Genomic DNA, 26,932 nt, shown 5'->3' on the forward strand with positions numbered 1-26,932 from the left:
CCTGCCTTCATCCCCCTGAGTAGCTGAGACCACAGGCACTTACCACCATGCCTCACTAATTTTTGTATTGTTTATAGAGATGGGGATCTCATTATGTTGCCCAGGCTGGTCTCGAACTCCTGAGCTCAAGCAATCTGCCTGCCTTGGCCTCCTAGAGTGCTAGGATTACAGATGTGAGCCACTGCGCCCCTCAAAATCTTTTTCAATTCAAAGATTCTATGGTTGTAAAGTTTTGTTTTTTTTGTTTTTGTTTTGAGATGGAGTCTCATTCTGTTGCCCAGGCTGGAGTTCAGTGGCACAATCTCGGCTCACTGTAACCTCTGCTTCCTGGGTTCAAGCTATCCTCCTGCCTCAGCCCCACTAGTAACTGGGATTACAGGTGTGTGCCACCATGCCCAGCTGATTTTTGTATTTTTAGTAGAGATGGGGTTTTGCCATGTTGGCCAGGCTGGTCTTAAACTCCTGACCTCAGGTGATCCACCCGCCTCGGCCTCCCAAAGTGCTGGGATTACAGGTGTGAGCCACCCCGCCCAGCCAGTTGTAAAGTTCTATAGCAGTGGAATTCTAGAGTTTTTCAGGCCTATGACATCTCTAAGATACGTGGTTCTTACATCAATAGATACTAAGATTCTAGGCTACTAAAATGTCAAGATTGTTTGGGTCTCATGGTTCATATTTCTTTCCAAGACTTTGGCCAGGCACAGTGGCTCATGTCTGTAATCTCAGAACTTTGGGAGGCCGAGGTGGGCAGATCACGTAAGGTCAGGAGTTTGAGACCAGAAACATGGTGAAACCCTGTCTCTACTAAAAATACAAAAAATTAGCCGGGCGTAGTGGCAGACACCTGTAGTCTCAGCTACTCAGGAGGCTGAGACAGGAGAATCACTTGAAACTGGGAGGAGGAGGAGGTTGCAGTGAGCCGAGATTACGCGCTGCACTCCAGCCTGGGCAACAGAGCGAGAGAACTGTCTCAAAAAAAAAAAAACAAAAACAAAAACAAAAAAAGAAAAAAAAGTTCATAATGTGAAGACCGAACGTTTCTGTGACCGTAGATCCTGTTGTGTCCGGAATTGGTGAGTTCTTGGTCTCACTGACTTCAAGAATGAAGCCACGGACCCTCGCGGTGAGTGTTGCAGTTCCTAAAGGCGGGGTGTCCGGAGTTTGCTCGTTCTGATGTTCCGATGTGTTCGGAGTTTCTTCCTTCTGGTAGGTTCGCGCTCTCGCTAGCTCAGGAATGAAGCTACAGACCTTCGCGGTGTTACAGCTCTTAAGGCGCCGCGCGTCTGGAGTTGTTCATCCTGCCAGTGGGCTCGTAATCTCACTGGCTTCAGGAGTGAAGCTGCAAATCTTCGCGGTTGAGTGTTACAGCTCATAAAGGCACTGTGACCCCAAAGAGTGAGCAGCAGCAAGACTTACTGGAAAGAGAGAAAGAACAAAGCTTCCACACTGTGGAAGGGGACCTGAGTGAGTTACCACTGCTGGCTCCCGCAGCCTGCTTTTATTCTCTTATCTGGCCCCACCCACATCCTGCTGATTGGTAGAGTCCAGTGGTCTGTTTTGACAGGGCGCTGATTGGTGCGTTTACAATCCCTGAGCTAGACACAAAGCTTCTCCACATCCTCACCAGATTAGCTAGATACAGAGTGTCCACACAAAGGTTCTCCAAGTCCCCACCAGAGTAGCTAGATACAAAGTGTCGATTGGTGCATTCACAAACCCTGAGCTAGACACAGAGTGCTGATTGGTGTGTTTACAAACCTTGTGCTAGATACAGAGTGCCGATTGGTGTATTTACAATCCCTGAGCTAGACATAAAGGTTCTCCACGTCTCCACCAGACTCAGGAGCCCAGCTGGCTTCACCCGGTGGATCCCGCACGGGGGCTGCAGGTGGAGCTGCCTGCCAGTCCCGCGCCGTACGCCCGCACTCCTCAGCCCTTGGGTGGTTGATGGGATTGGGCGCCCTGGAGCAGGGGGCGGCGCTCGTCGGGGAGGTTCGGGCCGCACAGGAGCCCACGGAGTGGGGGAGGCTCAGGCATGGCGGGCTGTAGGTCCCGAGCCCTGCCCCGCGGGGAGGCAGCTAAGGCCTGGCGAGAGAAATCGAGCGCAGCGCCGGTGGGCCGGCCTGCTGGGGGACCCAGCACACCCTCCGCAGCCGCTGGCCCGGGTGCTAAGCCCCTCATTGCCCAGGGCCGGCAGGGCCGGCCAGGCTCTCCGAGTGCGGGGCCCGCCGAGCCCACACCCACCTGGAATTCGCGCTGGCCCGCAAAGCACCGCGCGCAGCCCCGGTTCCCGCCTGCGCCTCTCCCTCCACACCTCCCCGCAAGCTGAGGGAGCCCGCTCTGGCCTTGGCCAGCCCAGAAAGGGGCTCCTCAAGTGCCGCCAAAGTGGGAGCCCAGGCAGAGGAGGCGCCGAGAGCGAGCGAGGGCTCTGAGGACTGCCAGCACGCTGTCACCTCTCACTGTTTGTCTGTAGGGTTGATGGTTCTGTGTCGCTGGCCTCAACCTCAGGACAGGACATGACCAGTGTCCCCCCTGGATAGCAGCCAGGGGCCGTGCCAGGTGTGGAGACTGAAGATGTGGCCAGCAGGACCCTGCTCAGTGGAGCTGCCTAGAAGCACCAGAGTGCCCCAGGGCCAGGATGGAACCATCAAAGCCGGCCAGAGGGCCCTGTGCCCAGGGTAGGTGCCTTCTCCCTATGAGCCGCCTAAGGGCAAGCCCTGCCTCCTGGTCTGCTCCCTGCCCTCCCCCAGACAGGCTCCCAAGTTAACTGGCACCAGCCAGTCCATGAGGGGCCCTTGTAGAGAGCGGGGCCCAGAGAAGTCTGTAGGGACTAGGCAATCCAGGAAAGCTTCCTGGAGGAGTAGGGTGTTTGGAATCGCGTGCTATTTGTTCACTTTGTCGTGTGCGCTCTAACGGCCTGTGTTCTCCATCACAGTTTATCTTATTCCCTGCTGCACTCAGCACAGTGCCTGGCGCGCAGTGGGAACCGAATGACCCCCTCCTATTCCTTATGTCAGTTGCCTTTTGTCTGTTTCTTTCATCGTAAGCAGGAATCTGTCCGGTTCGCGGCTGCTTCCCAGGCGCCCAGACCAGCGACCAGCACCGCGTAGGCGCTCGGCACAGACCGAGAACGGAGGCCCCACGCGGGGGCGCCCTGCGGCGAGGCGGGTCCCGGCCGCGCCCGGCGGAGCCGGGGAACTACAAGTCCCATGGTGCATCGCGGCGCCAGCGCGCAGACGCAGCCGCCCTCGGCGTCCTCTGTAGCGGGCGACCTAGGCCGCGGGACCCGGACGGAGGTAGAGGCCAGGGCAGCGCGTCCGGGAGCGGAGTCCGCGCCCGCCGCCGCCATGCCGGACAGCTGGGACAAGGATGTGTACCCTGAGCCCCCGCGCCGCACGCCGGTGCAGCCCAATCCCATCGTCTACATGATGAAAGCGTTCGACCTCATCGTGGACCGACCCGTGACCCTCGTGAGAGGTACGAAGCCCCAGCCCGGGGCTCCCTCGCCGGCCTCTGGGGACCCCTGGATCCCACACCCTGCCTGGATCCTCCAATGCCTCCGGGGTCCCGTCTGCCTGAGACCGCCCCCCGCTGCACCCCGGGGACAACTCCCCACCCCCGGAGACCTCCGAGCTCCGTCGCCTCCTTTGGCCTCCCACTGCACCCCGGACCTCACCTCCCAGGATCCCTTACTCTCCCCTGCACCCCGGGATGCCCCGCTTCTTCCCAGGACTCTTCCCTCCCTGCCGCACCCAGCGCCCACTGCCCCAGGACCCCGCACTGCTCTCCGCCCCCCGCCGCCCCGGGCACCCCTCCACTGCACCGCTGGCCTCAGGCCTCTCTCAAATGTCTCTCTGCCGGATGACCAAGTGTCGGGGTGATGGCCGAGATGCCCAAATTCAGCATCTCTGGAACGAACCGGGAAAATGCCCAGTTCAGTTTTTGTTGTTTTTTTTTTTCCTGAGACAGTCTCACTCTGTTGCCCAGGCTGGAGTGCAGTGGCGCGATCTCGGCTCACTGCAACCTCTGCCCCACCCCGGGTTCAAGCGATTCTCCTGCCTCAGCCTCCCCAGTACTAGGATTACAGGCGCACCACCACCACGCCCAGCTAATTTTTATATTTTTAGTAGACACGGGGTTTCACCATGTTGGCCAGGCTGGTCTCGAACTCCTGACCTCAGGTGATCCTCCCACCTTGGCCCCCAGGTGCTGGGATTACAGGCCTGAGCCACCGTGTCCAGCCTGGTTCAGTTCTTTTTGAACACTTGGGGTGCATAGCATGCTCTGGTGGTTCTTCCGTAAGAGGGTGAAGTCTCCAAATCAAACCCCCAAAGATCTGGAAACCGTGCAACAGCGGACCCAGCTCCCTCTCTTTTGTAGCAGTTGTAGAGCATGTCTGTCCTATGTGTCTGGATGTTCGAGCTCTCCTTTTAGCTCGTTCATTTCCCAGTGAGGAAGCTGAGGCCGTAAGGTGGTAAGTTCTGCTTGCTGGAGGCTCCCTGTTGGAGCCTCTTTGCGCACCCAGCAGGGTCCCTGTGCAGCTGGGGGAGGTGCACTGGCAGAGCTGCGTCCCAGTCCTTGCCATCTGTGAGAAGCAGCTGCCTGTAGGCTTGTGTGGGGGACAGAGTAAGGTAATGCATGTGGAACTCTGAGGATGATGCCTGGTACTCGGGAGCTCTCCATCAGCTGTAGCCTAGGCCTTCACAGGCCTGCCTGGCTGGCCACATCCCTTAGAGAGACGAATTGCTGTTTTCTAAACGCTGGAACACTCAGGAAGTTCTCCTCTCTCCCCTCCAAAGGGCTTATGAGAAATAAGAAAGCTAAAAGCCTGTCCAAACCGATGAGGCATTTGAGTCTGTGGCTTTGTCTTTGCAGAATTTATAGAGCGGCAGCACGCAAAGAACAGGTATTACTACTACCACCGGCAGTACCGCCGCGTGCCAGACATCACTGAGTGCAAGGAGGAGGACATCATGTGCATGTATGAAGCCGAAATGCAGTGGAAGAGGGACTAGTACGTGAGCCATGCTGGGAGTGTGGAGATCTGCACCGTGTGCTGCTGGGACACTAGTCCCTGGGATGCCACAGGGTGGCATGCCCAGATTTTAGGGGTGACATGGGAGGAGCCAGACCCCAGGGCTCTTGCTTTCAATTGTTCTCACAGGGTACAGGAAAAGGATTCCTTGTGATTAGCCTCTCTTGCTCCTTTTCTCCACCAGCAAAGTCGACCAAGAAATTATCAACATTATGCAGGATCGGCTCAAAGCCTGTCAGCAGAGGGAAGGACAGAACTACCAGCAGAACTGTATCAAGGAAGTGGAGCAGTTCACCCAGGTGGCCAAGGCCTACCAGGACCGCTGTGCGTGCCCCACCCACCCCCAACCCCCCACCATCCTCCTGAGGCCTGGGGGCCAGAACCATTGCAAATCTTCCCTCCCCTCCCTTGTGCTCACTTGACTTTGCCCCCTTTGCATGTAGCAGAGGCCTCGGTTCCCAGCTTGTTTCCATTGCTTCCCCAGATCAGGACCTGGGGGCCTACAGTTCTGCCAGGAAGTGCCTGGCCAAACAGAGGCAGAGGATGCTGCAAGAGAGAAAAGCTGCAAAAGAGGCCGCCGCTGCCACCTCCTGAGGCAGCTGTGGGTGCCCCTGCTGTGTGGCTCTGTATGACTGTTGCTGAAATATAAAGCCCTGCAACCTGCCTGTGTGTCTGGTGTGATCTATTGGCCCCACGCCCCAGATTCAAACCACCACTAACCATGCAGGACACGGGAAAAAAACAGTAACACGCTTAATTCACTTTATTTTTCTTGTATAAAAACCCTATGTTGTAGCCACAGCTGGAGCCTGAGTCCGCTGCACGGAGACTCTGGTGTGGGTCTTGACGAGGTGGTCAGTGAACTCCTGATAGGGAGACTTGGTGAATACAGTCTCCTTCCAGAGGTCGGGGGTCAGGTAGCTGTAGGTCTTAGAAATGGCATCAAAGGTGGCCTTGGCTGCAAAACAAAAGAACCCCAGGAGGGTCAGTGGTGTGCTTGAGGCAAGTCCCCCAACCCAAAAATTGTCGCACTCCTAGGAACAGAGAGGCCATTCTGGGCGGGTCTGTCGTGCATTAGGAGAGCCTTTCTCTGCCTCCCTGAAAACACGCCAAGCACACACTGGACCCGTGTGGTTAAGCGGAGCTGAGAGACCATGGCTATGCCCCATGTGTGGACCACCTACCGAAGTTGCCCAGGGTGGCAGTGCAGCCCCGGGCTGAGGTGTAGCAGTCATCGATACCAGCCATCATGAGCAGCTTCTTAGGCACAGGTGCGGAGACGATGCCAGTGCCCCTGGGTGCAGGGATGAGGCGTACCAGCACAGAGCCGCAGCGGCCTGTCACCTGGTGAGGGAAGGAGTCAGGAGACGGGGGCCCGAGGGAGCCTGCCCCACGGCAGGCCCATCACCTGCCACCAGCCTACCTTGCAAGGGACAGTGTGGGGCTTGCCGATCTTGTTCCCCCAGTAGCCTCTGCGCACGGGGACGATGGAGAGCTTGGCCAGGATGATGGCCCCACGGATGGCGGTGGCCACCTCCTTGGAGCACTTAACACCCAGACCGACGTGGCCATTGTAGTCCCCGATAGCAACAAATGCCTGCGAAAAGATGTGTGTGAGGCAGCTGGTGGCCCTACACCCAATCACTGCCCACCGCCCAGGGCCTGTTGCACCCCTCAAGGAAAGAGAGGCCACAGTAAGGCCCATCCGAGGTCCTGAGGAGATCTTTTCTCTCTCTCCCCGTTACGAAAGTCACACGGGTGAAGCCAAGTGCAACTATGCAGAGCCGAGAGAGTCCCGGCAAGCCCAGCGCAGCCCCCTCCAGGACAGCCGGGTACCTTGAACCTGGTGCGCTGGCCGGCACGGGTCTGCTTCTGCACTGGCATAATCTTCAAAACCTCATCCTTGAGAGAGGCCCCCAGGAAGAAATCAATGATCTCTGATTCCTGAAACAAACAAGAAAATTGTAGGGAGAGCATTAAAAAAAAACTTAATACCATTATGATATTCAAGAACCAAAGTCACGGCCGGGGGCGGTGGCTCAAGCCTGTAATCCCAGCACTTTGGGAGACTGAGGTGGGCGGATCACAAGGTCAGGAGTCCGATACCAGCCTGGCCACATGGTGAAACCCCACCTCTATTAAAGACACAAAAAATTAGCCGGGCATGGTGGAGTGCGCCTGTAACCCCAGCTATTCAGGAGGCTGAGGCAGGAGAATCGCTTGAACCTGGGAGGTGGAGGTTGCAGTGAGCCGAGATCACGCCAGCCTAGGCGATAGGGCGAAACTGTGTAACCGCCCACCCCGCCCAAAAAAAACCGAAGAAGTCATGAACCCCCTCACCTGGCTTCCCCCCGATCTGTCCCCTTCGTTTCGTTTTTGGAAGCTTGTATGTAAGGTTACCCTATTTCTGCATCTCAATCGTTTCTTCCTATTTGCCCTTTTTCTCTTGTTTGGTGAGATGTGGCTTTCCACTCAGATTTCCTTTTGCTTTGTCCAGCTTTGGCCTAGCCATGACCACCGTACCTTGCTAGGGCGAACGCTCACATGACAAATATGCCATTAGCCTTTCCCCACTGCACCCGCTGGATGCAGATGACAGCTGTCCCGTACACGCGGACTATGACAGTTTGCTAACCCTTACAGTGTCCTCCCACAACCTGAACTTCATCATCCTCTCGGATGGCATGAACCAAGCGCTGCTTCTCTTTCAGTTCTTTCGAAATGAATTCGCTGCGAATGTGGGAAGATGCGCTGAAATGCCTTTTGTGGCTCTGGCTTCGCTCAGGTATCCATCCAACCTCTAAGTGGAATCCTCTCCTCAGCCAGCCCGCAACACAACCTCAACCTCTCACGCGAGACGCTGGGCCCTTTAATGCGAGTCAATGGCAGATGCTAATCCTCCAACCCCAGCCCAAATGACTCCGGGGTCGCACTTGCTCAACGCCCCAACGACCGACGCGTACCTTAATAGGCAGGGAGAAGAGATAGATCTCCTCCAGGGACTTGATCTTCATGTCCTTGACCAAGCGGCCCAACTTGGTGACGGGCATCCACTAAAGGGAGAAAAGGCGCCAGTGACCAGGACCGCTCTCCGGCGCCGCCCAGGGGCCCGACCCCGAGCGTGGCTGATACCTACCTCCTTATCCTCGGCCTTGCCTCCGCGAGCTCCGCGGCCTCGGCCCCGGCCCCGTCCACGGCCGCGACCCCGGCCCCGGATGCCACTGCCGAAACCTCCGCGGAAGCCACCGCGGTTCCCCATCCCAGGGCCACCAGGGCCCCCGGGCCCCCCCGCTGCACCGGCGTCATCCGCCATTTGCTGGGAAAAGCGACAAGAAGGAACTAGTCAGTGTGGCCTACGCATCTGGCAGCCCCCCGCGAGACCCAGACAAGGGCTCCCGCCCAGGAGCGCGGACTCGGGAGCCTAGACCCGACCCGATGTCCGCGGATTCCCGCCGCCCACGCAGAGGCCCGCTGCAGCGACCAACAGGACTCACGTGTTTTGTCGGAAAAGAAGAACGAGACCTACTGGGAAGCAGCTTTTATAGCACGCCAAGCGCCGCGAGATCTCCGCAGCCCCGCCCCAAGCGGGAGCGGGCCGAGCTCCTATAAGACAACCTGTGATTGGCTCCGCGGTGCCCCGCCCTCACCGGGCTCTGAGTGCTCTTGCCCGTCCGGCCCCAGCCGCGGCCCGGGAATCTACGTCACCCGAAAAGCGACTATAAACGCCGGCGCCTCCGTCCCCAGCCGCGGCTCGGGAATCCACCCGAAGAGTGGCTATAAACGTCCGCGCCTCCATTGCGCTCTCCTCTTCACTTAGGTAGGTCCTGCCGCGTTGACCACTGGCGTCTCGCTGGTGGTCTTCGAGACCGGCGTTGGTTGAAAATCGCCCCCGGCTTTGGCCGTGGCCGCGGGTGAGATTCGGCGCCCAGAGCCCCCGGGGGCCTCAGCTCACCGCGCGCTGCCCCATGTGCGGCGGTGAAACCCAGGCCCCGACAGGCGCTGCCGCCTCCCCCCCGGGTGCGGTCGCTCGCGAGGTCTGGCCCCTGACTCCTGACCCCGACTGCAGACCCCTAACCTTGTTCTTTCTCCGCAGGACACTGGTCCTCCCACGCCTGACACCGACGTCGCCAGGACCGCGGGGTTGGGGGAACTTGGCTGTCCCACGTCTTTCAAATAAAGCTGTTTTGTCTAACTCACTGCATGCGGGTGTTCTTGGGGCCCCGACTCGCCTATCAGCCTGGCGGCAAGTGCATATGTTCACGCTGTGGCGGGGAGAACCCTAGCGAGATGCCTCCTCTTCTTTCCTGGCTTTGGACACAAGGGTAGGATATGGGAGGTTGGCAGGTGATGTGTAAGGTCCGACGCCTCTTAAGTGGAGGAGCCAGACTACGAACAGTCTTGTGGCCATGCGCATCTCAAGTGAACTACACTGGCAGGTAAAATGCCTTGGTCCAAAGGGCTCCAGGTGGAGCCAGCAGAGCACTAGCAAGGATGGGAAGCTCAGAGGCTTCCAGTGGCTTCCTTGTGAGACCAGGTGAGATTCTAAAGGATTTGACCAACTAGGCCTAGATGAACTCAGCGCCCCCGTGGTGCTAGGCTGGAGTGGATCAGACACCTGGTTTGGGAGGCTGGGCCCCCTGCTCTGGGGCGGCAGGTTACCCGGGAGTTTAGTTGTCACTGCCGTGGAGCTAGCACCTGAGTATCAGATCCTAAGTGAAGACCCCCAGTGAGTCAATGCCTAAAACCCCTAAGCCTTAGGATCTCCAGCCACCTGGGCCGCAGTATTGGAGAGAAGAGGGTGGCAATCCCTGTGATCCCACTGAAGCCCTGGCCTGGGGGAGACAGCTCCATGAAGCTTGGTTCTGACCCAGTGCTTCTGGGGAAACGCTGTCAGCCACTCTCAAGCCCCAGGCGCTTCATAGACCTATCTCAGGTCAAGAGCTGCTCTCTTTTATTTTTATTTTATTTTATTTATTTTTTTGAGACGGAGTCTCGCTGTCACCCAGGCTGGAGTGCAGTGACACCATCTCAGCTTACTACAACTTCCGCCTCCCGGGTTCAAGCAATTCTGCCTCAGCCTCCCAAGTAGCTGGGACTACAAGCAACTGCCACCACACTTGGCTAATTTTCTTGTATTTTTAGTAGCGATGGGGTTTCACCATGTTGGCCAGGCTGGTTCGAACTCCTGACCTTAAGTGATCTGCCTGCCTCGGCCTCCCAAAGTGTTAGGCTTACAGGCATGAGCCACTGCAGCTAGCCGTATGGCTTTTTTTTTTTTTAAGAGGTGGGGTCTCACTGAGTTGCCCAGGCTGGTCTCCTGGGCTCAAGTGATCCTCCTGCCTTGGCCTCCCAAACTGCTGGGATTACAGGTGTGAGCCACCGCGCCTGGCTACCTGTGATCCTTCAGAGAAGGGGGCAAGGGCTGGGCTGTACGGGGTCTCTGGGTCCTGAACCAGGGTTGTGACTGGCTTGAGCTGGACAATGCTATTGTGATGTCAGCCCACACCCACTGTGAAATGCAGGCTCCTGAGCTCTGGGGGCCTGTGGAGCTGCTGTCTAGACGCAGATCATGGTGAGCCTGGGGCCCTCTTGCTTCCAGCCCTGAGATGTGTGCCCAACTCCAGAAACCTGCCCAGTTGTCCAGGGATCGACCCCACTCCACTCGGAAAGGGTGGGCAATGGGTTGCAGACCCCCATATGGTACAAGGAAACCTTCTGGAAGGCTCTGGCTAGGTCTAATTCCAGGCTAAGGCCCCCGTCTCCAGCCAGAGATTAGTAGTCCTGGGGTGGGGGGCCCTAACCCCCACAGCTGCCCCCTCAAAGTGGGCGCTGAGCCAACCCCTTTACTTGAAGTTCTGTGGCCCACCTCCCTGCCAAAAGCTTGCTGGGCTCTCTTGCTCGGTATGTGGACCAGGGACTGGATCACTGTCCCAGCCAGGTGCTGACACCTGGCCTTTGCAGGGTGGCGGGTATGATCTCAACCTCTTCGCCAGCCCTCCTGACAGCAACTTCGTGTGCTCCGTCTGCCATGGGGTTCTCAAGAGGCCAGCAAGGTTGCCATGCAGCCACATCTTCTGCAAAAAGTGCATCCTCCGGTGGCTAGCCAGGTGCCAGCGGGTACCCAAGGGGCTGGGAGGGCAGGAGTGAGACTGGGGGCCATTGCTGTGGCCCAGAACAGAGGGGAAAGTCAGCCAAAAGACTCAGCCACCAAATCTCCCTAAACTAAAATGTGTGTACCCTCACTCAGTAGTGTCTGCAGACCCCGGCCCCACCCTCAGAGCTGAGAGCGCCCTGTAATATGCCCTAATGCCTCATCCAGCTAATGAAGGGACCACCTGGGTCACCGAGTGAGGGCTTGACCAGGGCTCCCTTCCCACTCCCAACACTCACCCCTACTCATGCCTCCTTCCAGACAAAAGACCTGTCCGTGCTGTAGGAAAGAGGTGAAAAGGAAAAAGGTTGTCCACATGAATAAACTCCGGAAAACCATTGGCCGCCTGGAAGTCAAGGTAGCTCAAAGTACCCACTCCCCTGACCCTCAACCCTTCTCACCCTTGTAGGGGTGGGGCAGGGCTAGGAGAGAAGGCAGGAGAATCCCATCTTCAGAGAGAAACAAGTGCAGCCTTGGGACGACCAGACATAGCTGAGTTTGGATCGTGGCTCTACTGCTTAGTTGCTGTGTGACTTTAGGCAAGTCACCTAACTTTTCCAAGCCCCTGGGTTAGAAAATGGAGATTTTAGAGGACTTTTAAAATGGAGATTACAGAGGATTTTTAGAGGATCAAGTGCCCAGTGTGCCTGCCACTACTCTCTAGTCCCCTAGTTTTACAGATGGGTAAACCGAGGTTAAAAAGGAAAGCCTGGCATCCATACCACTCACCAGACCAACCCAACTGTGTACCTTCCAGTTCCCCAAGACTCAGGCCTCACCCTCTCCCCTGGAACTTCTAGCTTCTTCCCACGTCTAGGCATTTGCCCCAGTGTTCTCTCCACCAACTCACCAGAGTCAGAAAAGCGTGGGAGGCTCCCGGTTCCCTGGTTCCTGGCGAATGGAAAGCCAGGGGTGGGGGATTCCGTGGGTGTCCTGCCCGGTTTCTTCACACGTTCTCCTTCACCCTCAGTGCAAGAACGCCGACGCTGGCTGCATAGTGACATGCCCCCTGGCCCATCGCAAGGGGCACCAGGACTCATGCCCCTTTGAGCTAACGGCCTGCCCCAACGAGGGCTGCACCTCGCAGGTGCCGCGTGGGACCCTGGCAGAGCACCGGCAGCATTGCCAGCAAGGGTCCCAGCAGCGCTGCCCCCTGGGCTGCGGGGCCACCCTGGACCCGGCCGAGCGTGCTCGCCACAACTGCTACCGGGAGCTGCACAACGCCTGGAGCGTGCGCCAGGAGCGCCGTCGGCCCCTGCTGCTGTCCCTCCTGCGGCGTGTGCGCTGGCTGGACCAAGCCACCAGTGTCGTTCGTAGAGAGCTGGCGGAGCTCAGCAACTTCCTGGAGGAAGACACCGCTCTGCTGGAGGGTGCCCCACAGGAGGAGGCCGAGGCTGCCCCAGAAGGCAACGTTGGGGCTGAGGTGGTGGGGGAGCCCAGGGCCAACATACCTTGTAAATAGGTAAATAAAAGCAGACCCCCGGCCTGCCTGCCTCTGTGCCTGCGGCCCTCACAACTGTCACCGGTGCATCCCTGCTGCCCTCTCCAGGCATTTGCCTGCTCTCTTTCATCTTTTCTTTTTCAAAGGAAGGAGGCCGGGCGTGGGTGGCTCACGCCTGTAATCCCAGCACTTTGGGAGGCTGAGGTGGGTGGATCACCTGAGGTCAGGAGTTCGAGACCAACCTGACCAACATGGCGACACCCCGTCTCTACTAAAAATACAAAAATTAGCTGGGCGTGGTGGCAGGCGCCTGTAGTCCCAGCTACTCGGGAGGCTGAGGCAGGAGAATGGTGTGAACCCGGGAGGTGGAGGTTGCAGTGAGCCAAGATCACACCACTTCACTCCAGCCTGGGCGACAAGAGTGAGACTCCGTCTCATAAAAATAAATCAATAAATAGGCCAGGCGCGGTGGCTCACGCCTATAATCCCAGCACTTTGGGAGGCCGAGGCAGGCGGATCACAAGGTCAGGAGATCAAGACCATCCTGGCTAACACAGTGAAATCCCGTCTTTACTAAAAAATACAAAAAATTAGTCAGGCATGGTGGCGGGCGCCTGTAGCCCCAGCTACTCGCGAGGCTGAGGTAGGAGAATGGCCTGAACCCGGGAGGCGGAGCTTCCAGTGAGCGGAAACCGTGCCACTGCACTCCAGCCTGGGCGACAGAGCAAGATTCCGTCTCAAAAAACGAGGCCGGGCGCGGGGGCTCACGCCTGTAATCCCAGCACTTTGGGAGGCCGAGGTGGGCCGATCACGAGGTCAGGAGATTGAGACCATCCTGGATAACACAGTGAAACCCCGTCTCTACTAAAAAATACAAAAAATTAGCCAGACGTGGTGGCAGGCGCCTGTAGTCCCAGCTACTCGGGAGGCTGAGGCAGGAGAATGGTGTGAACCCGGGAGGCGGAGCTTGCAGTGAGCCGAGATCACGCCACTGCATTCCAGCCTGGGCAACAGACCCAGACTGTCTCAAAAAATAAATAAATAAAAATAAATAAATAAGGGGAATACAAGAATGGCTACTCCATAGACAGAATACCTTTTTCTTCTTTTTTGAGACTGGGTCTTGCTCTGGCACCCAGGCTGGAGTGCAGTCACGTGATTACGGCTCACTGCAGCCTCAACCTCCCTGGGCTCAAGCAATCCTCCCACCTCAGCCTCCTGAGTAGCTGGGACTACAGGCACGCACCACGACTGCCGGCTAATTTTTGTGTTTATTTTAGAGATGGGGTTTCACTGTGTTATCCAGACTGGTCTCAAACTTCTGGGCTCAAGTGATCCTCCTGCCTCCAAAGTGTTGGGATCACAGGTGTGAGCCACCATGATGGCCTACTTTCTTTCCCTCAAATATCTCTCCTCTCAGAGATTTTCCCTGATCATACTTCTCAGTTCTCCTTCTCAGTTACTTTCGTTTTTTCATTTTTTTCTTTTCTATTTTTTGAGATAGGGTCTCTGTTGCCCAGGCTGGAGTGCAGAGGCCCAATCACAGCTCACTAGAAACTCAGCTTCCCAGGCTCAAGCAGCCCTCTCACCTCAGCCTCCAGAGTAGCTGGGACTACAGGCACACCACCACCCCTACTAAATTTTCTGTGTGTGTGTGTGTGTATGTGGAGACAGGGTCTCGCCATGATGCCCAGACTGGCCCAGTTACTTTTTTTTTTTTCTCTGAGACAGTCTTGCTCTATCGCCCAGGCTGGAGTGCAGTGACGTTGCGATCTTGGCTCACTGCAACCTCCGCCTCCGGGTTCAAGCGATTCTCCTACCTCAGCCTCCCGAGTAGCTGGGATTACAGGCACCCGCCACCACACCAGGCTAATTTTTGTATTTTTAGCAGAGACTGGGTTTCACCATGCTGGCCAGGCTGGTCTCGAACTCCTGACCTCGTGATCCACCGGCCTCGGCCACCCAAAGTGCTAGGATTACAGGCGTGAGCCATCGCGCCCGGCCTGGCTGTTACTTTCTACCAGCTTCAGAGCCAGTAGCACAAATGGCTCAAAACCTTGAACTCAGAGTAAAAGCTAACTCCTCGCCACGGCGCACAGGCAACTGCATGCCCTCTGCCCTCTGCACCCACTCCCTGCAGCCACCCGGCTTGTTGCTACTCAATGCTTGGCACCCCCAGTCCTAGGCCTGTGCCCTGGCTGTTCTCAACACCATTCGTTCCACAGGGCTCCCTGCTTCGCGAACTTGTGTCTGCTCAGGCGTCACCTTCTCAATACAGCCTCCTCCTTCCTCCCTTCCGCTCCCTCCCTTCTGTTTTTTTTTCTTTCTTTCTTTCTTTTTTTCTGAGACGGAGTCTCACGCTGTCACCCAGGCTGGAGTCCAGTGGCGCAATCTCAGCTCACTGCAGCCTCCGCCTCCGGGGTTCAAGCGATTCTCCTGCCTCAGCCTCCCAAGTAGCTGGGATTACAGGCATGTGCCACCACGCCCAGCTAATTTTTTTTTTCTGTTTTTAGTAGAGACGGGGTTTCTCCACGTTGGTCAGGCTGGTCTCGAACTTCCGACCTCAGGTGATCCACCCGCCTCGGCCTCCCAAAGTGCTGGGACTACTGGCGTGAGCCAACGCGCCCGGCCCTCCTCCTTTTTCCATCGCGCTCAGCAACTATCACTCGTCGCCCGTTCTGTTTCTTCTCTGGTGTCCGCCAAGTGCCGATTACAGTGCTTTGCACACAGAAGGTGCTCAATACATGAATGCCTTTGAGATTACCCGGTTTATTCATTTACCTACGTTATTTATCAAGAGCCACACTGCGAGCCCAGGGGCAGGGTCAGGTTGACGGCTCTACGCACGGACCGCACCCGACAGCTGGTACCCCCACATCCCAGAACGCCGAAAAGCAGGAGTAAACGCTGGCTACAAATGCCTTTTTATACTGGTATCAAAGAGCCAGGCCACCAGCGATGCCACATCCGCCGGTCTACCCCCACCGACCCGCGAAGCACCCTCACAGCTCACGGCCCTCCCTCCAGGCCGGAAACGTCTCCGCCCGCTTCCGCTTCCCGATGCAGCCGCCACTGCCCGAAGCAAAGATGGCGCCAAGTGCGCGGCGCCGGCGGGGACGTCACAGTGGTCGCGCGCGGTGACGCCATCGCAGCGCGCCGGGAGTGTGGCGTTCTGTGAAGAGTTCGGTGCTAACCTCCCTCACGCGGCGGTGGCTGCCGGGACCCTAGCAGGTTTCAGCTGGAGCGGCGGCGGCGGCAACATGGCAGAGACCGCGGCCGGAGTGGGCCGCTTCAAGACCAAGTGAGCCCGGAGCTCTGGGGCCGTGCGGGGAGGGAGCTGGGTTTGCAGCCGGCATAGCGGAGGCGCGCGTGGGGTGGGCACGCATTGGGGTCCGTGGAGGCGAGAGGCTGTGTGTGCGCCGGCCCGCGGGGTCGCGGAGGCTGCGGTGATACTAGGCGGGAGAGCCGGCCCCGGCTGCTCTCGGGGAGGACGGCGATCGGAGCCCGGCCGCCGGGAGCAGCAGCGTGGGCTCATCGAGAAGCCGGCTATGGGGTGGAGTGGGGACCAGAAGTCCCGATGAGGGGAGGAGAGGGCTGAGCCTAGGTCGGGGCTGGTCCCGGGAGGCGGCGGGGGCGAAGAACCACCTCTGAGCAGTCGGCCTGGGGACCTTTCATCCGCGATCCGTCTTCTCCAGGGAGCAGGGAGAATGCAGGAGAGGGGCGGGTCCGCAGAAGCCCAGGAGGCCCTGAGTGCTGTGCCCCGTCACTCCCCAAGCCTTTGCCGAACAGCAGTGCTGGTGCCCCCGCCCTGGCAGCGCAGCCTCATGGGATTATCGTTTCCACTGGCGGCTGTGGGGCTTTGGTTGTGCCAAGCACTGGTAAAGGAAAGTCCCAGGCTGGCAGCACCGTCGTGGGAGGGTCAACTGGGTGCGGGGGCTGAGGGGCCGCTTTCGTTTTGGCAGTCAGGCTTCCAGAAGCGCAGTGAGCCAGGCCTTGACATCTGGGAAGAGAAGCCCAGGCCGCGTACAGGGAATAGGGGGAAGATAGGAAACCCGTCCCAGAGGCTGGGACAGGAGCAGTGGGGTGCACTGTGGGCCATGAGAAGGAAAGAAAGCAGAGGCAAGGGTGGCAGAGGCTCTTCTGGGCAAGGTCTGGGAGGTGTGTGGGCAGAAGGGAGGGGCTAACGCAGGGCAGTGACATCTTCAGTTATGTTCTGAAAGGTACCTGGCAGCAGGGTTAAGAGGTAGGTAGGGGAGGCCGGGCGCGGTGGCTCACGCCTGTAATCCCAGCGCTTTTGGAGGCCGAAGCGGGCGGATCACGAGGTCAGGAGATTGAGACCACGGTGAAACCCCGTCTCTACTAAAAATACAAAAAATTAGCTGGGCGCAGTGGCGGGCACCTGTAGTCCCAGCTACTCGGAGAGGCTGAGGCAGGAGAATGGCGTGAACCCGGGAGGTGGAGCTTGCAGTGAGCTGAGATCGTGCCACTGCACTCCAGCCTGGGCTGGAGACCCCTTCTCAGATCGAGACCCCTTCTCAAAAAATAAATAAGTAAAAAGAGGTAGGTAGGGGGTCCAGTGAAGAGGCCAGAGTGGCTGGCCAGAGACTGTGATGGGCTGGACCAGGTGGAGGCAGTGGAGAAGGAAGGAGAAGGGGCACGAGTGAGGTCACAGAAATGACAGCTGCTCGTGGGACCCGGGCTCTGGGCAAGCCTGGGGATGGAGAGAGGAGTCAGGGAGGGGAAGAGGTATGCCAGACCTCAGGGATGAAGACACTGGGAGGATGTGCTCTGGGCTGGCTACCCAGGCCTGGCCACCCACCGCCGGCAGGGGTGTTCCCAAGGAGCCCCCTGGCTCTCACTGGGGAATCCCTGGAAGCCCTGGGCTGTTGGGCTGACTCCACCTGACACAGGCCCACCCCCTACTGCCTCAGGGATCACCAGCCAGCTGCGGGTCTCTACTTCTCAGTGACGACGGTAGCTACAGCCCCCTGCAGTACTGCTGGTTCCACCCCATGCCCTGTCCCTGCTGTTGCCCAGAAACTCAAGGGCAGGGGCCATTGGGGTCACTTGGAGAGGAGCACCTAGCACAGGGCGGGGCCCTGGGGACTGAGGGGGTGGGTGGTGCTCATTCGCCTCCCGCTCTCCTTCCAGCTATGCTGTGGAGCGCAAAATTGAGCCTTTCTACAAGGGCGGAAAAGCACAGGTACCAGCCTGGGGAAGGGCAGTGGGGCGGGCAGCCAGAGGCCGCGGGGGGTGCTGAATGTTGCCTGGCTGAGACCTCTCTGTCCCCAGCTGGACCAGACTGGCCAGCACCTCTTCTGCGTCTGTGGCACCAGAGTCAACATTCTGGAAGTGGCCTCGGGGGCCGTGCTGCGGAGTCTGGAGCAGGTGAGGGCAGCCTGGGTGGGTGAGGGGCAAGTGGAGAGGGCAGCCCACTCACACCGTGCTCGGCACACCACTCTTTCTCCTAGGAGGACCAGGAGGACATCACTGCCTTTGACCTCAGCCCTGACAACGAGGTATGTGGGGCGGGGCCTGGAGGGGACCCGCTCCAGCGCCTCCCTCCCAGACTGAGTCCAGGAAGATGTGAGCAGGGTATTGCTGCCCCTCTGCTGACCTGTACCCTCCCCCAGGTGCTGGTGACAGCCAGTCGGGCATTGCTGCTGGCTCAGTGGGCCTGGCAAGAGGGCAGCGTTACCCGCCTGTGGAAGGCGATACACACGGCCCCCGTGGCCACCATGGCCTTCGACCCCACCTCCACTCTGCTAGCCACAGGTAGGGCCCTGCCGTGCAGGTGGGTCGTGGGCACAGATGCAGGGGCTTTGGGCATTCCACCCCCTCACCTTGCTTCCCCGCAGGTGGCTGTGATGGGGCCGTGCGCGTCTGGGACATCGTGCGGCACTACGGGACACACCACTTCCGAGGCTCGCCCGGTGTCGTGCAGTGAGTTGGAAGGTGGAGGGGGAGGGCAGAGGCACCACCCAGGCTGCACAGCTCACCCATCCTGTCCCGTCCGCCCACAGCCTAGTGGCCTTCCACCCGGACCCTACACGCCTGCTGCTCTTCTCCTCGGCCACGGATGCCGCCATCCGCGTGTGGTCACTGCAGGACCGGTCATGCCTGGCTGTGCTGACTGCCCACTACAGCGCCGTCACCTCACTGGCCTTCAGCGCCGACGGCCACACCATGCTCAGGTCAGCAGTGGGCCCTGGTAGGAGGGGGAGGCTTGGAAAGTGGGGGCTGAGGCTAAGACTTGACCTGAGGTTGCCGTTGCTCCTTCAGCTCCGGCCGTGACAAGATATGTATCATCTGGGACCTTCAGAGCTGCCAGGCCACGAGGACCGTGCCTGTGTTTGAGGTGGGGATGCCTGGAGGCCAGGGCTGGTTGAGTTGGGTGGGGAGGGGGCATGATAGCAGCCTGTGACCCAATTCGTCTCCAGAGCGTGGAGGCTGCTGTGCTGTTGCCAGAGGAGCCAGTGTCCCAGCTGGGTGTGAAGTCCCCAGGGCTGTACTTTCTGACAGCTGGCGACCAAGGTGTGTTGGGCCGGGACATGGGCAGGCGGTAGGGGCTGGGGAAGGCCTGTGGACCTGAGAGTCTCAGCAGCCCTGTCCCCACCCACACAGGCACTCTGCGCGTGTGGGAGGCAGCTTCTGGGCAGTGTGTGTACACGCAGGCCCAGCCGCCGGGCCCTGGGCAGGAGCTGACCCACTGCACCCTGGCACACACCGCCGGCGTGGTCCTCACCGCCACCGCCGACCACAACCTGTTGCTCTACGAGGCTCGCTCCCTGCGGCTGCAGAAACAGGTGCACACCTGCCCTTGCTCAGTCTGGAGGCTGCGGGCACCAGCCCTCCTCTTACACAGGTCCTGGCTCACATCTCCTGCTCCCTGCCACCCCGCAGTTCGCTGGCTACAGTGAGGAGGTTTTGGATGTCCGGTTTCTTGGGCCCGAGGACTCCCACGTTGTCGTGGCCTCCAATAGCCCCTGCCTAAAAGTGTTTGAGCTGCAGACGTCAGCCTGCCAGATCCTCCACGGCCACACGGGTGAGTGGGGCCAGCCCACCTGACACCCTGGGAGCCGCCTCGGTCCCTTGCTTGCTTCCCTTCCCCCGTCTTGCTGTGTGACCTATACCTCCCCACAACATCTCAGATATCGTCCTGGCCCTGGATGTGTTCCGGAAGGGGTGGCTCTTTGCCAGCTGTGCCAAGGTGAGGCACCCTGAGAGGTAGGGGCAGGGGCACCAGGCGGGGAGGCCACGCAGTAGGCCCATGGACCAGCCTCTCTCCTCAACTCCCTGTCCCCAGGATCAGAGCGTCCGTATCTGGAGAATGAACAAGGCTGGCCAGGTGATGTGCGTGGCTCAGGGTTCCGGTCACACACACAGTGTGGGCACCGTCTGCTGCTCTAGGTAGTGAGTCGGGGCTGGGCCCAGGGGTGTCAGGGAGGTGGAGGCCCAGGCCTGCCAGCAGGGCTGCCGCTCAGGGAGCTGGGGAGGCAGTGGCAGCTTTGGCTTGCTCTGAGGCTCCAGCCCAAAGATGTGGAACAGAACAGGACAGGAGAGTCCCTAGGTGCCTCGGGGTCAGTCCTCAGAAGTAGCCCTGGTGAAGTGGTTAAAGGGGGAAGGGCATTAGGCAGAGAGAATGACCCTGCACGAGGCCCAGGTGGAGAGGTGACCCCTGCATGTAGGCACAGGGTCCTGTGGCTAGGGCTGAGCCACCCGGTGCTGCGGGTGGACAATGTAGACAGGGCTTGATCCTACAGGTGCCTGGGGGTGACCCAGGCCAACCCGCATCCTGGGACAGGCCCCGTGGTCTGGACCGTGGGCTCCCAGCCTGGCCCTGTGGGGAGCTGGCCATCAGGGCTGGCTGGGGCTCAGCTGTGTCTCCTCCTCTCCTGTTGGGTCACAGGCTGAAGGAGTCCTTCCTGGTGACAGGCAGCCAGGACTGCACTGTGAAGCTGTGGCCTCTTCCCAAAGCCTTGCTGTCCAAGAACACAGCCCCAGACAACGGCCCTATCCTCCTGCAGGCCCAGACCACTCAGCGCTGCCATGATAAGGTGACTCCATAGCCACTGGGGTGGGGGTGTGGCCAAGCCCTTGCTGGGGGAAGATGGGGGATTGCTGAGCCACCACCTTCTCCCATTGCCAGGACATCAACAGCGTGGCTATTGCCCCCAACGACAAGCTGCTGGCCACAGGCTCACAGGACCGCACGGCCAAGCTCTGGGCCCTGCCACAGTGCCAGCTGCTGGGTGTCTTCTCAGGCCACCGGCGTGGCCTCTGGTGCGTCCAGTTCTCTCCCATGGACCAGGTGCTGGCCACGGCCTCAGCTGATGGCACCATCAAGCTCTGGGCACTCCAGGACTTCAGCTGTCTCAAGGTAAGTGGCGCTCCAGACCCTCCCCACTTCCCGCCCTGGTGACATCTCATGCCCTACCCCCCACCTTGCAGACATTTGAGGGGCACGATGCTTCTGTGCTGAAGGTGGCCTTTGTGAGCCGTGGCACGCAGCTGCTGTCCAGGTGAGTGGGCTGGGGTGGGGCAGCGATGGAGTGGGGGGTGGCGGGGGGACCTGCCTGACGCTGAGCCTCTCCCCACCCCAAACCCAGCGGTTCGGATGGCCTCGTGAAGCTCTGGACCATCAAGAACAACGAGTGTGTGCGGACGCTGGATGCCCACGAGGACAAGGTCTGGGGGCTGCACTGCAGCCGGCTGGACGACCACGCCCTCACTGGGGCCAGTGACTCCCGAGTCATCCTCTGGAAGGTTGTGGGCCCCAAGGGCAGGGAAGAGTCGGGGTGGAGTGGAGGCCCCATCTGACCCTAGTCTAACCCCAGGATGTGACCGAGGCGGAGCAGGCAGAGGAGCAGGCCAGGCAAGAGGAGCAGGTGGTCAGGTAAGGCCAGGGCAGTGGCGCCCCTCCCCGCATCAGCCCTGCTCTGTGCTGTAGGGAAAACGAGGCTGAGTGCCAGGCTCCCTGCCTGCTGACTCCGATGGCTCTGCCTGCAGCCCCAGCCAGCGGCCCTCAGTGGCCTCTCCTCCCCTCCCCACAGGCAGCAAGAGCTGGACAACCTGCTGCATGAGAAGCGGTACCTGCGGGCGCTGGGCCTGGCCATCTCCCTGGATCGGCCCCACACCGTGCTGACTGTCATCCAGGGTCAGTGCCCACCCCGGGGGGCGAGGGGCTGGGTCTTCGGACCACTGGGCTCTGCTTTCCCCAGCTCAGCCTTCCCTTCTCCCACAGCCATCCGGAGGGACCCTGAGGCCTGCGAGAAGCTGGAAGCCACCATGCTCCGACTGCGGCGCGACCAGAAAGGTTGGCGGCCAGTCAGGGTGGGTGGCCCGGTGGGCAAGGGCCAGTCATGGCAGATTGGCTGGGCAAGACGATGAGGGTCCTGTTGCCCACAGAGGCCCTGCTGCGCTTCTGCGTCACGTGGAACACCAACTCGCGGCACTGCCACGAGGCCCAGGCCGTGCTGGGTGTGCTCTTGAGGCGAGAGGCCCCCGAGGAGCTGCTGGCCTACGAAGGCGTGCGGGCAGCGCTTGAGGCCCTGCTGCCCTACACTGGTATGTGGGCACAGCCTGGGGTTGGGGGATCCTGGTGGGCGTGTGGACCACCCCCCTGACCTCCCTCTGTCCAACCCCAGAGCGGCACTTTCAGCGGCTCAGCAGGACCCTCCAGGCCGCCGCTTTCTTGGACTTCCTGTGGCACAACATGAAGCTCCCTGTGCCGGCCGCCGCCCCCACCCCCTGGGAAACCCATAAAGGCGCACTGCCCTAGCCGGTCCGGCCTCTCTCCAGTCCATCCTGAACCCCTGGAAAACCCATAAAGGCCGCTCTCCTGGCCGGCTCTGTCTCTCTGGACTGCAGTCCAGCCCCCCACCCTGGCCAACACCCTACCTAGCCAGCCAGAAGGGCACTGGAGCTGATGGTCTCGGCCCTGCCACGCCCATCCCGCACCCTGGCCTGGCAGAGATCCAGCCCGCGGCTCCGCACGCTTAGACGGTGGGGGTCATGCAGAACAAGCTTTACTCAGAGGAACAGCAAATGGCCCCCTCCCATCCCTGCTGGCCAGGGAGATCCGCCCTCCCCGCTCCTCCCCAGCCCTGGGATGGCGCGGTCCATCCCCTCATCGGGATCCTCGCGCTCACTGCTCCGTCGTGGGGTGCGGCACAGAGTCCACGCACCCTCGAGGGCGGCCCTGGCGCCGTGGGCGCCGCTCCAGGGCCCTGCGTGTGACGGTGCAGCAGCGGCTCTGGATGGCGCCCGGCGAAGGTCGGGTGGGCACGGTGGGGGGAGGGGCGGTGGCCTGGGAGGGTTCAGGGAAGCCCCGGGCCTCACCCGCCGGGTCGTCTCCTCCACGGAACCCCGTCCCGCTCAGGAGAGCGCCCAGCCCTTCCGGCCGCAGCAGCACCGCGGGGAGTAGGCCCGCCCGGTCGCCGTACCTGCGAGGGGCGGGGTGTGGTTAGGGCCCCGCCCGCCTCGGCTAGCCTGCCCTGCCCACGCCCGCTCCCGCGTACCTGCATAGCCACCAGCCGCGGTCTGACGTTTCCAACACGCGCACGCGCGCCCCCGCGGGCACGGACAGCTCATCTGCGCGGCTGCTCTCGTAGGCGCGGGAAGCACAGAACTGGGGACCTGGTGGGAGTGGGTGTTTGGAGTCACCGCGGGGCCACAGAGGACGAGGCCCGCCCGCACCCTTCTCCACATTCTCCTTGCTTGAGTCTGCTGACGGCGGGGCCGCTCTAAGACCGGTTCGGGGCTTCCTCTAGGTGCGGAGACCAAGCACGGGCTCCTGGCCCGCCCTGCCCGCGGTGCTTCTGGCCCAGTCTTGCCACACGGTCAAGCCGCAGTGGTGGCGTGAGGGGTGGGGTTAGGCGCATACCGCTGCTCCCTAGGGACGGGCCTCCCTCCCGGCCTTGGCCCGGGGCCGCCTCCTCCAGGTAGGGCGCTGGAAACCAGGCGGTCTGCCGGTCTTCGTTCTCCACCAGCCACCAGCCTGTGCGCAAGAAGCGGGCAGGGACTCAAATCTCGAGGCTCCCTCGGGTCCAGGAGCAGAGGAGCAAATCCCTGGGTTCTTGGGGGGCCCTACCTGAGGGGTGCCGCAGCAGCACGTCCAGGCTCTCCTGGGCCTGCGCCTGAAAAGGCCTATCCCGCGTGTCCTGGGTACAGAAGGGCTGCAGGCAGCGCAGGCTCTGAGCCTCCAGACTGTGGATGGAGAGGCGGCCCGCAGCGCGAGAAAGAGGCTGCTCCTCTGGGGTGGGCAGGATCACCCGGCTGGGAAGGGCAGCCCGTACGAGTGAGAGGTAGGCGGATGGGGAGGGTGAAACTGGGGGCGCCACCCCGGCAAGACCGCCAGCCTCCCACTCTCTGCCCCTATTCGCTGGCTGTTCCCCCCCACCCTGGACCTCTCCCAGCTCCAAACGCCGCTGCATGCTGGGAGTTTGGGGCGAGTCAGGCACCTGCCGGGTGGCAGCGCGGGCTCCAGGTCCAGGGGTTGCGGTGCGAAGAAGCCAGTGATCGTCGGGCTCCGTGCCACGCGCTCTGCAGTCGCCAGCAGCCTCCGAGAATAGGTTTCCAACAGCTGCAGGCGCGCCAGGCCGCGGCTCGTGCGCCCCACGCGTCCCAACAGTGGTGCATCTTAAGGCACCACAAAAACGTACTGTGATACGCCGCTTTGGGCTTCACTGGTCCCTGGCGCCCCCAGGCAAGCCACCGCCTTCCCCGCTCCCGTACCCAGGCTGGCCTGACCGAGAAGCTTTGGGAGAACGCGGTCAGATCTCCGCAGCAGGCCCGCCTCCACCGGGAAGGTCTCCTTGAGGGTCTTCTGAGGGCGGGAACCAGGGCATTGGTCTTCCAGAGCCCACTGTGCACCCTTGAGAGGGCGGGGTCCCTCACCCGGATGGCAGGGGCTGGGAGCTTCAGCAGGGACGAAGGGCCTCCAGTGGGAGTCACTGATGGGAGGCAGTCCAGTGGGAGGCAGCCGCGTGGGGAAGCCGCCACCGCGGCATCAGGGTGGCCCAGGGTCACTCACCTTGAGCTGCCTGAATTCGTCCCAACTCCTGCGCACGAAGGTGTCGCTGCCGTCTGACCAGCGCACAGAGAAGGCAAACGTCTGGGGGACAAAAAGTTGGGAGTGCCGTGGAGGTGCTGGTCCAGGCACCCCCTTCCTATCCCTTGGGGCCACTAAGGACCCAGCCAGGTCTTACTTGGAGCCTCTTGATCTGCACCAGGGCTGCCCCTTGCACTGAAACTGGGTATCGGGGGCCTGCCATGGCTGTGGCTTCCAGGCTGCAGATTCCTGAAATGGGCGAGGACCCTTCTGCCTCCCCGTGCTTGAGAGGGCTCTGGGGGACCCAGAAAACCCCCTGGGATAGAATCCTGGCAACACCTCAAGCCTGTGGGGTCCTTGTGGAGCCGCCCCAGCTGAGTCCTTTGCAGCTTTCTTGCTGTCCCCCAAGCCCACGATCTGGGGGCAGGAGCACAGGGATTGGGGGACTTCCAGGCAGAGCTGCTGGGAGGAAGAAGAAGAATGAGCTTTCCAGCCCTGGAGGCGTGCAAGACTGAAGAAGGGGCGAAGGGTAGGCGGGACTGCTGCCTGGGGCCCTCCTGCCTGCCTCTGGCCACAGGAGGAGGGAGGAGAAGGCAGGGCTAATCAAAGCGCCACCTGTCCTGCCCACCTCTCTGGATTCCCCTACCCTGTGAGGTAATTGCCCTGCCAGGGTGCGCCCAACAACTTTGAACTGGCCTGGGGATTTCTGTGCAGAACCAAGGACTCAGTGCTTACAGCTTTAAGTGCTTTGTCTGACTTAATCCTAATGCTGGAGGAAAGGTCTCTTAATGTCCCCAACTCATAGAGGAGGAAATGTGTGTTAAATGCGTAATTATTGTGAGCTGTTCTATACATGCTGGGGGAGGGGCAGACCTCACAGGCTCACCCCAGGGGTTCCCCTGCAGTGAGGAGACTTGGGGTAGGAGAAAGAGGGCCCATCTGTGCAGTCACTGGCATTTGGTGGGTGGGGGTGGTGGTCAGGGAAGTGGTCACTAGGGCTGTTTTGAGAACCACCTCTCAATTCACGATTTGCCATGACTTACTGCAAACATGGCCTGGGCAGAGGCTCGCCCAGGTGCCCCACCTCTCTGGCTGCTTCCTTATAGTTCGGGCTTCGGAAGCCACATTCAACCCTGGCACACAGTGGTTTTTCCTCGTGCTGGGGCCACCAGTTCTGTGTTGGGATGCACCTACTCCAGCCCCTTCAGGGAGCAGTCAGCCTCTAAGGCATCCCTCCAGGAAGCTGCCCTGGCTGCAACAAAGGGCCTTTGTGTGTCTGTCCCACCAGCACTCTCTCTCATGCCCTCAAGCTGTCCCTGGTCTTGGCATGGGCAATGAACACCTGCTCACATAGGGCTGATTTGCAGGGTTCCCCCAGCCAGCTGTCACCTTCTCCCTGTCTCAGCTGAGGGCCCAGCTGACCTGGTGGGGTCCAGCGTGTGAACCCAGGGGAGACCTTGCTCCCCTGGAAGACAGGAGAAGCTGGGGAGGATTTATTCACAAGCAGAGGCCTAGAGGGATTCTGAGGCCACCTGCCTACCCCAGCTGACAGCTCCTGCCCCACACCCCATCAGCCCTGCATGGTTTCCACTTTTTCCTCCCCTACCCTCTTTTCTTGCCTGAATAGTACACCCCACCCTCCATCTGTATGCTCCTCACTTGCCCCTACAAAATCCACTCCAAGGACAGACACAGTGCCTCACCTGTAATCCAAGTACTTTGGGAGGCCGAGGCAGGGGGATTGCTTGAGCTCAGGAGTTCGAGACCAGTCTGGGCAACATGTTGAGACCTCCATCTGTGCCCCCCAAAAATACAAAAATTAGCTGGGCGTGGTGGCGTGTGCCTGTAGTCTACTTGGGAGGCTGAGGTGGGAGATCACTTGAGCCTAAGCAGTCGCGGCTGCAGTGAACAAGATCGCGCCACTGCACTCCACCCTGGGTAACGGAACAAGACCCTGTCTCAAAAAAAAAAAAGAAATCCACTCCCCATATGATAGCCAGCGGAATCTGCAGCAAACTGAAATGGGATCAGATTGGGTAACCTTGCCCAAAACTGTCTAGCATCTTCCCTCCTACCGTTATAATAAATTCCCAATCCCCGAAGCTGCCGACCAAGTCTTTGGTGGGCCCCTGTCCGTCCCTGGATCTCCCCTCCCACCTTACAACCCTCCCTAGCGTCCCACTGGCGTTTTTGTTCCTGCAAAATGCCAAGACCCTGCCACCTTGGGCTTGGTCTCGAAGGCGCTCCTCAGCT

General features: G+C 60.1%; 5 protein-coding genes, 1 long non-coding RNA gene and 3 other non-coding genes across 14 annotated transcripts, besides 26 other annotated features; 5 read left to right on the forward strand and 4 right to left on the reverse strand.

The window, feature by feature from the left end:
* Positions 1,477-2,318: an enhancer, noted in NCBI's record as "H3K27ac-H3K4me1 hESC enhancer chr16:2007755-2008596 (GRCh37/hg19 assembly coordinates)". NCBI's record gives its function as "activates a minimal SCP1, AML or CMV promoter by ChIP-STARR-seq in primed H9 embryonic stem cells {active_cell/tissue: H9 hESC(primed)}" and the evidence as "EXISTENCE:reporter gene assay evidence [ECO:0000049][PMID:30033119]".
* Positions 3,041-3,350: a silencer, noted in NCBI's record as "silent region_7011". NCBI's record gives its function as "represses an Ori minimal core promoter by ATAC-STARR-seq in GM12878 lymphoblastoid cells {active_cell/tissue: GM12878}" and the evidence as "EXISTENCE:reporter gene assay evidence [ECO:0000049][PMID:35858748]".
* On the forward strand, positions 3,261-5,698 carry NDUFB10 (NADH:ubiquinone oxidoreductase subunit B10). Its single transcript, NM_004548.3, has 4 exons — positions 3,261-3,477; positions 4,876-5,014; positions 5,220-5,359; positions 5,520-5,698. The coding sequence occupies exons 1-4, from the start codon at positions 3,348-3,350 to the stop codon at positions 5,627-5,629; spliced, it is 519 nt and encodes a 172-aa protein (NP_004539.1). The 5' UTR covers positions 3,261-3,347; the 3' UTR covers positions 5,630-5,698.
* Positions 3,781-3,890: a silencer, noted in NCBI's record as "silent region_7012". NCBI's record gives its function as "represses an Ori minimal core promoter by ATAC-STARR-seq in GM12878 lymphoblastoid cells {active_cell/tissue: GM12878}" and the evidence as "EXISTENCE:reporter gene assay evidence [ECO:0000049][PMID:35858748]".
* Positions 5,091-5,370: an enhancer, noted in NCBI's record as "active region_10241". NCBI's record gives its function as "activates an Ori minimal core promoter by ATAC-STARR-seq in GM12878 lymphoblastoid cells {active_cell/tissue: GM12878}" and the evidence as "EXISTENCE:reporter gene assay evidence [ECO:0000049][PMID:35858748]".
* Positions 5,411-5,460: an enhancer, noted in NCBI's record as "active region_10242". NCBI's record gives its function as "activates an Ori minimal core promoter by ATAC-STARR-seq in GM12878 lymphoblastoid cells {active_cell/tissue: GM12878}" and the evidence as "EXISTENCE:reporter gene assay evidence [ECO:0000049][PMID:35858748]".
* An 82-nt stretch (positions 5,699-5,780) lies between the features above and the next one.
* Positions 5,781-8,549, reverse strand: RPS2 (ribosomal protein S2). Its single transcript, NM_002952.4, has 7 exons — positions 8,530-8,549; positions 8,172-8,351; positions 7,999-8,088; positions 6,872-6,979; positions 6,459-6,632; positions 6,220-6,379; positions 5,781-5,993 (listed from the first exon to the last, which is right to left on the reverse strand). Exons 2-7 carry the CDS (start codon positions 8,346-8,348, stop codon positions 5,821-5,823), a joined length of 882 nt encoding a protein of 293 aa, NP_002943.2. The 5' UTR covers positions 8,349-8,351; positions 8,530-8,549; the 3' UTR covers positions 5,781-5,820.
* Positions 5,894-6,839: an enhancer, noted in NCBI's record as "H3K27ac-H3K4me1 hESC enhancer chr16:2012172-2013117 (GRCh37/hg19 assembly coordinates)". NCBI's record gives its function as "activates a minimal SCP1, AML or CMV promoter by ChIP-STARR-seq in primed H9 embryonic stem cells {active_cell/tissue: H9 hESC(primed)}" and the evidence as "EXISTENCE:reporter gene assay evidence [ECO:0000049][PMID:30033119]".
* Positions 5,894-6,890: a biological region, named in NCBI's record as "H3K27ac-H3K4me1 hESC enhancer GRCh37_chr16:2012172-2013117".
* Positions 6,057-6,189, reverse strand: SNORA10 (small nucleolar RNA, H/ACA box 10). The gene has a single exon (NR_002327.1). It is a non-coding gene; the product is annotated as a small nucleolar RNA, H/ACA box 10 (small nucleolar RNA).
* Positions 6,351-6,420: an enhancer, noted in NCBI's record as "active region_10243". NCBI's record gives its function as "activates an Ori minimal core promoter by ATAC-STARR-seq in GM12878 lymphoblastoid cells {active_cell/tissue: GM12878}" and the evidence as "EXISTENCE:reporter gene assay evidence [ECO:0000049][PMID:35858748]".
* Positions 6,471-6,520: an enhancer, noted in NCBI's record as "active region_10244". NCBI's record gives its function as "activates an Ori minimal core promoter by ATAC-STARR-seq in GM12878 lymphoblastoid cells {active_cell/tissue: GM12878}" and the evidence as "EXISTENCE:reporter gene assay evidence [ECO:0000049][PMID:35858748]".
* Positions 6,551-6,660: an enhancer, noted in NCBI's record as "active region_10245". NCBI's record gives its function as "activates an Ori minimal core promoter by ATAC-STARR-seq in GM12878 lymphoblastoid cells {active_cell/tissue: GM12878}" and the evidence as "EXISTENCE:reporter gene assay evidence [ECO:0000049][PMID:35858748]".
* SNORA64 (small nucleolar RNA, H/ACA box 64) lies at positions 6,696-6,829 on the reverse strand. The gene has a single exon (NR_002326.1). It is a non-coding gene; the product is annotated as a small nucleolar RNA, H/ACA box 64 (small nucleolar RNA).
* Positions 6,801-6,890: an enhancer, noted in NCBI's record as "active region_10246". NCBI's record gives its function as "activates an Ori minimal core promoter by ATAC-STARR-seq in GM12878 lymphoblastoid cells {active_cell/tissue: GM12878}" and the evidence as "EXISTENCE:reporter gene assay evidence [ECO:0000049][PMID:35858748]".
* Positions 7,785-8,730: an enhancer, noted in NCBI's record as "H3K27ac hESC enhancer chr16:2014063-2015008 (GRCh37/hg19 assembly coordinates)". NCBI's record gives its function as "activates a minimal SCP1, AML or CMV promoter by ChIP-STARR-seq in primed H9 embryonic stem cells {active_cell/tissue: H9 hESC(primed)}" and the evidence as "EXISTENCE:reporter gene assay evidence [ECO:0000049][PMID:30033119]".
* Positions 7,881-8,150: an enhancer, noted in NCBI's record as "active region_10247". NCBI's record gives its function as "activates an Ori minimal core promoter by ATAC-STARR-seq in GM12878 lymphoblastoid cells {active_cell/tissue: GM12878}" and the evidence as "EXISTENCE:reporter gene assay evidence [ECO:0000049][PMID:35858748]".
* Positions 7,951-8,245: a silencer, noted in NCBI's record as "tiled region #9904; HepG2 Repressive DNase matched - State 1:Tss, and K562 Repressive DNase unmatched - State 2:TssF". NCBI's record gives its function as "represses a minimal TATA promoter and a strong SV40 promoter by Sharpr-MPRA in HepG2 and K562 cells {active_cell/tissue: HepG2 | K562}" and the evidence as "EXISTENCE:reporter gene assay evidence [ECO:0000049][PMID:27701403]".
* Positions 8,719-9,227, forward strand: SNHG9 (small nucleolar RNA host gene 9). The gene is made up of 2 exons (NR_003142.2): positions 8,719-8,852; positions 9,129-9,227. It is a non-coding gene; the product is annotated as a small nucleolar RNA host gene 9 (long non-coding RNA).
* SNORA78 (small nucleolar RNA, H/ACA box 78) lies at positions 8,907-9,033 on the forward strand. Its single transcript, NR_003020.1, has one exon. It is a non-coding gene; the product is annotated as a small nucleolar RNA, H/ACA box 78 (small nucleolar RNA).
* Positions 9,228-10,578: 1,351 nt separating the features above from the next.
* On the forward strand, positions 10,579-12,672 carry RNF151 (ring finger protein 151). 3 transcript variants are annotated; one of them, XM_005255129.5, is made up of 4 exons: positions 10,579-10,607; positions 10,970-11,142; positions 11,448-11,544; positions 12,157-12,672. In XM_005255129.5, exons 1-4 carry the CDS (start codon positions 10,605-10,607, stop codon positions 12,646-12,648), a joined length of 765 nt encoding a protein of 254 aa, XP_005255186.1. In that variant the 5' UTR covers positions 10,579-10,604; the 3' UTR covers positions 12,649-12,672. The 3 variants fall into 3 exon arrangements, with proteins under 3 accessions (XP_005255186.1, NP_777563.2, NP_001335640.1); NM_174903.6 differs by having other exon boundaries at positions 10,997-11,142; NM_001348711.2 differs by lacking the exon at positions 11,448-11,544 and adding an exon at positions 11,596-11,725 and having other exon boundaries at positions 10,997-11,142.
* Positions 15,562-15,901: an enhancer, noted in NCBI's record as "active region_10248". NCBI's record gives its function as "activates an Ori minimal core promoter by ATAC-STARR-seq in GM12878 lymphoblastoid cells {active_cell/tissue: GM12878}" and the evidence as "EXISTENCE:reporter gene assay evidence [ECO:0000049][PMID:35858748]".
* TBL3 (transducin beta like 3) lies at positions 15,776-26,652 on the forward strand. Its single transcript, NM_006453.3, has 22 exons — positions 15,776-15,928; positions 17,779-17,830; positions 17,920-18,015; positions 18,099-18,146; positions 18,261-18,402; positions 18,486-18,570; positions 18,651-18,821; positions 18,910-18,985; positions 19,068-19,161; positions 19,252-19,433; positions 19,531-19,672; positions 19,779-19,837; positions 19,934-20,037; positions 20,537-20,684; positions 20,777-21,007; positions 21,079-21,149; positions 21,237-21,393; positions 21,465-21,523; positions 21,681-21,784; positions 21,872-21,943; positions 22,036-22,194; positions 22,275-26,652. Exons 1-22 carry the CDS (start codon positions 15,888-15,890, stop codon positions 22,406-22,408), a joined length of 2,427 nt encoding a protein of 808 aa, NP_006444.2. The 5' UTR covers positions 15,776-15,887; the 3' UTR covers positions 22,409-26,652.
* Positions 15,962-16,101: an enhancer, noted in NCBI's record as "active region_10249". NCBI's record gives its function as "activates an Ori minimal core promoter by ATAC-STARR-seq in GM12878 lymphoblastoid cells {active_cell/tissue: GM12878}" and the evidence as "EXISTENCE:reporter gene assay evidence [ECO:0000049][PMID:35858748]".
* Positions 21,735-22,314: an enhancer, noted in NCBI's record as "H3K27ac-H3K4me1 hESC enhancer chr16:2028013-2028592 (GRCh37/hg19 assembly coordinates)". NCBI's record gives its function as "activates a minimal SCP1, AML or CMV promoter by ChIP-STARR-seq in primed H9 embryonic stem cells {active_cell/tissue: H9 hESC(primed)}" and the evidence as "EXISTENCE:reporter gene assay evidence [ECO:0000049][PMID:30033119]".
* Positions 22,315-22,894: an enhancer, noted in NCBI's record as "H3K27ac-H3K4me1 hESC enhancer chr16:2028593-2029172 (GRCh37/hg19 assembly coordinates)". NCBI's record gives its function as "activates a minimal SCP1, AML or CMV promoter by ChIP-STARR-seq in primed H9 embryonic stem cells {active_cell/tissue: H9 hESC(primed)}" and the evidence as "EXISTENCE:reporter gene assay evidence [ECO:0000049][PMID:30033119]".
* On the reverse strand, positions 22,640-25,192 carry NOXO1 (NADPH oxidase organizer 1). 4 transcript variants are annotated; one of them, NM_144603.4, is made up of 8 exons: positions 24,837-25,192; positions 24,662-24,742; positions 24,379-24,451; positions 24,090-24,267; positions 23,720-23,904; positions 23,513-23,626; positions 23,148-23,265; positions 22,640-23,072 (listed from the first exon to the last, which is right to left on the reverse strand). In NM_144603.4, the coding sequence occupies exons 1-8, from the start codon at positions 24,900-24,902 to the stop codon at positions 22,775-22,777; spliced, it is 1,113 nt and encodes a 370-aa protein (NP_653204.1). In that variant the 5' UTR covers positions 24,903-25,192; the 3' UTR covers positions 22,640-22,774. The 4 variants fall into 4 exon arrangements, with proteins under 4 accessions (NP_653204.1, NP_001254650.1, NP_751907.1 ...); NM_001267721.2 differs by having other exon boundaries at positions 24,364-24,451; NM_172167.3 differs by having other exon boundaries at positions 24,379-24,454.
* Positions 22,895-23,474: an enhancer, noted in NCBI's record as "H3K27ac-H3K4me1 hESC enhancer chr16:2029173-2029752 (GRCh37/hg19 assembly coordinates)". NCBI's record gives its function as "activates a minimal SCP1, AML or CMV promoter by ChIP-STARR-seq in naive H9 embryonic stem cells {active_cell/tissue: H9 hESC(naive)}" and the evidence as "EXISTENCE:reporter gene assay evidence [ECO:0000049][PMID:30033119]".
* Positions 23,039-23,158: a silencer, noted in NCBI's record as "silent region_7013". NCBI's record gives its function as "represses an Ori minimal core promoter by ATAC-STARR-seq in GM12878 lymphoblastoid cells {active_cell/tissue: GM12878}" and the evidence as "EXISTENCE:reporter gene assay evidence [ECO:0000049][PMID:35858748]".
* Positions 23,475-24,052: an enhancer, noted in NCBI's record as "H3K27ac-H3K4me1 hESC enhancer chr16:2029753-2030330 (GRCh37/hg19 assembly coordinates)". NCBI's record gives its function as "activates a minimal SCP1, AML or CMV promoter by ChIP-STARR-seq in naive H9 embryonic stem cells {active_cell/tissue: H9 hESC(naive)}" and the evidence as "EXISTENCE:reporter gene assay evidence [ECO:0000049][PMID:30033119]".
* Positions 23,475-24,632: a biological region, named in NCBI's record as "H3K27ac-H3K4me1 hESC enhancers GRCh37_chr16:2029753-2030330 and GRCh37_chr16:2030331-2030910".
* Positions 23,951-24,245: a silencer, noted in NCBI's record as "tiled region #200; K562 Repressive non-DNase unmatched - State 14:Gen5'". NCBI's record gives its function as "represses a minimal TATA promoter and a strong SV40 promoter by Sharpr-MPRA in K562 cells {active_cell/tissue: K562}" and the evidence as "EXISTENCE:reporter gene assay evidence [ECO:0000049][PMID:27701403]".
* Positions 24,053-24,632: an enhancer, noted in NCBI's record as "H3K27ac-H3K4me1 hESC enhancer chr16:2030331-2030910 (GRCh37/hg19 assembly coordinates)". NCBI's record gives its function as "activates a minimal SCP1, AML or CMV promoter by ChIP-STARR-seq in naive H9 embryonic stem cells {active_cell/tissue: H9 hESC(naive)}" and the evidence as "EXISTENCE:reporter gene assay evidence [ECO:0000049][PMID:30033119]".
* Positions 25,109-25,168: an enhancer, noted in NCBI's record as "active region_10250". NCBI's record gives its function as "activates an Ori minimal core promoter by ATAC-STARR-seq in GM12878 lymphoblastoid cells {active_cell/tissue: GM12878}" and the evidence as "EXISTENCE:reporter gene assay evidence [ECO:0000049][PMID:35858748]".
* Positions 26,455-26,647: a silencer, noted in NCBI's record as "fragment chr16:2032733-2032925 (GRCh37/hg19 assembly coordinates)". NCBI's record gives its function as "represses an EF-1alpha promoter that drives an FKBP-Casp9 reporter gene in an ReSE screen in K562 erythroleukemia cells {active_cell/tissue: K562}" and the evidence as "EXISTENCE:reporter gene assay evidence [ECO:0000049][PMID:32094911]".

This window comes from Homo sapiens, chromosome 16 (genome assembly GCF_000001405.40).
Source record: "Homo sapiens chromosome 16, GRCh38.p14 Primary Assembly".
NCBI lineage: Eukaryota > Metazoa > Chordata > Mammalia > Primates > Hominidae > Homo > Homo sapiens.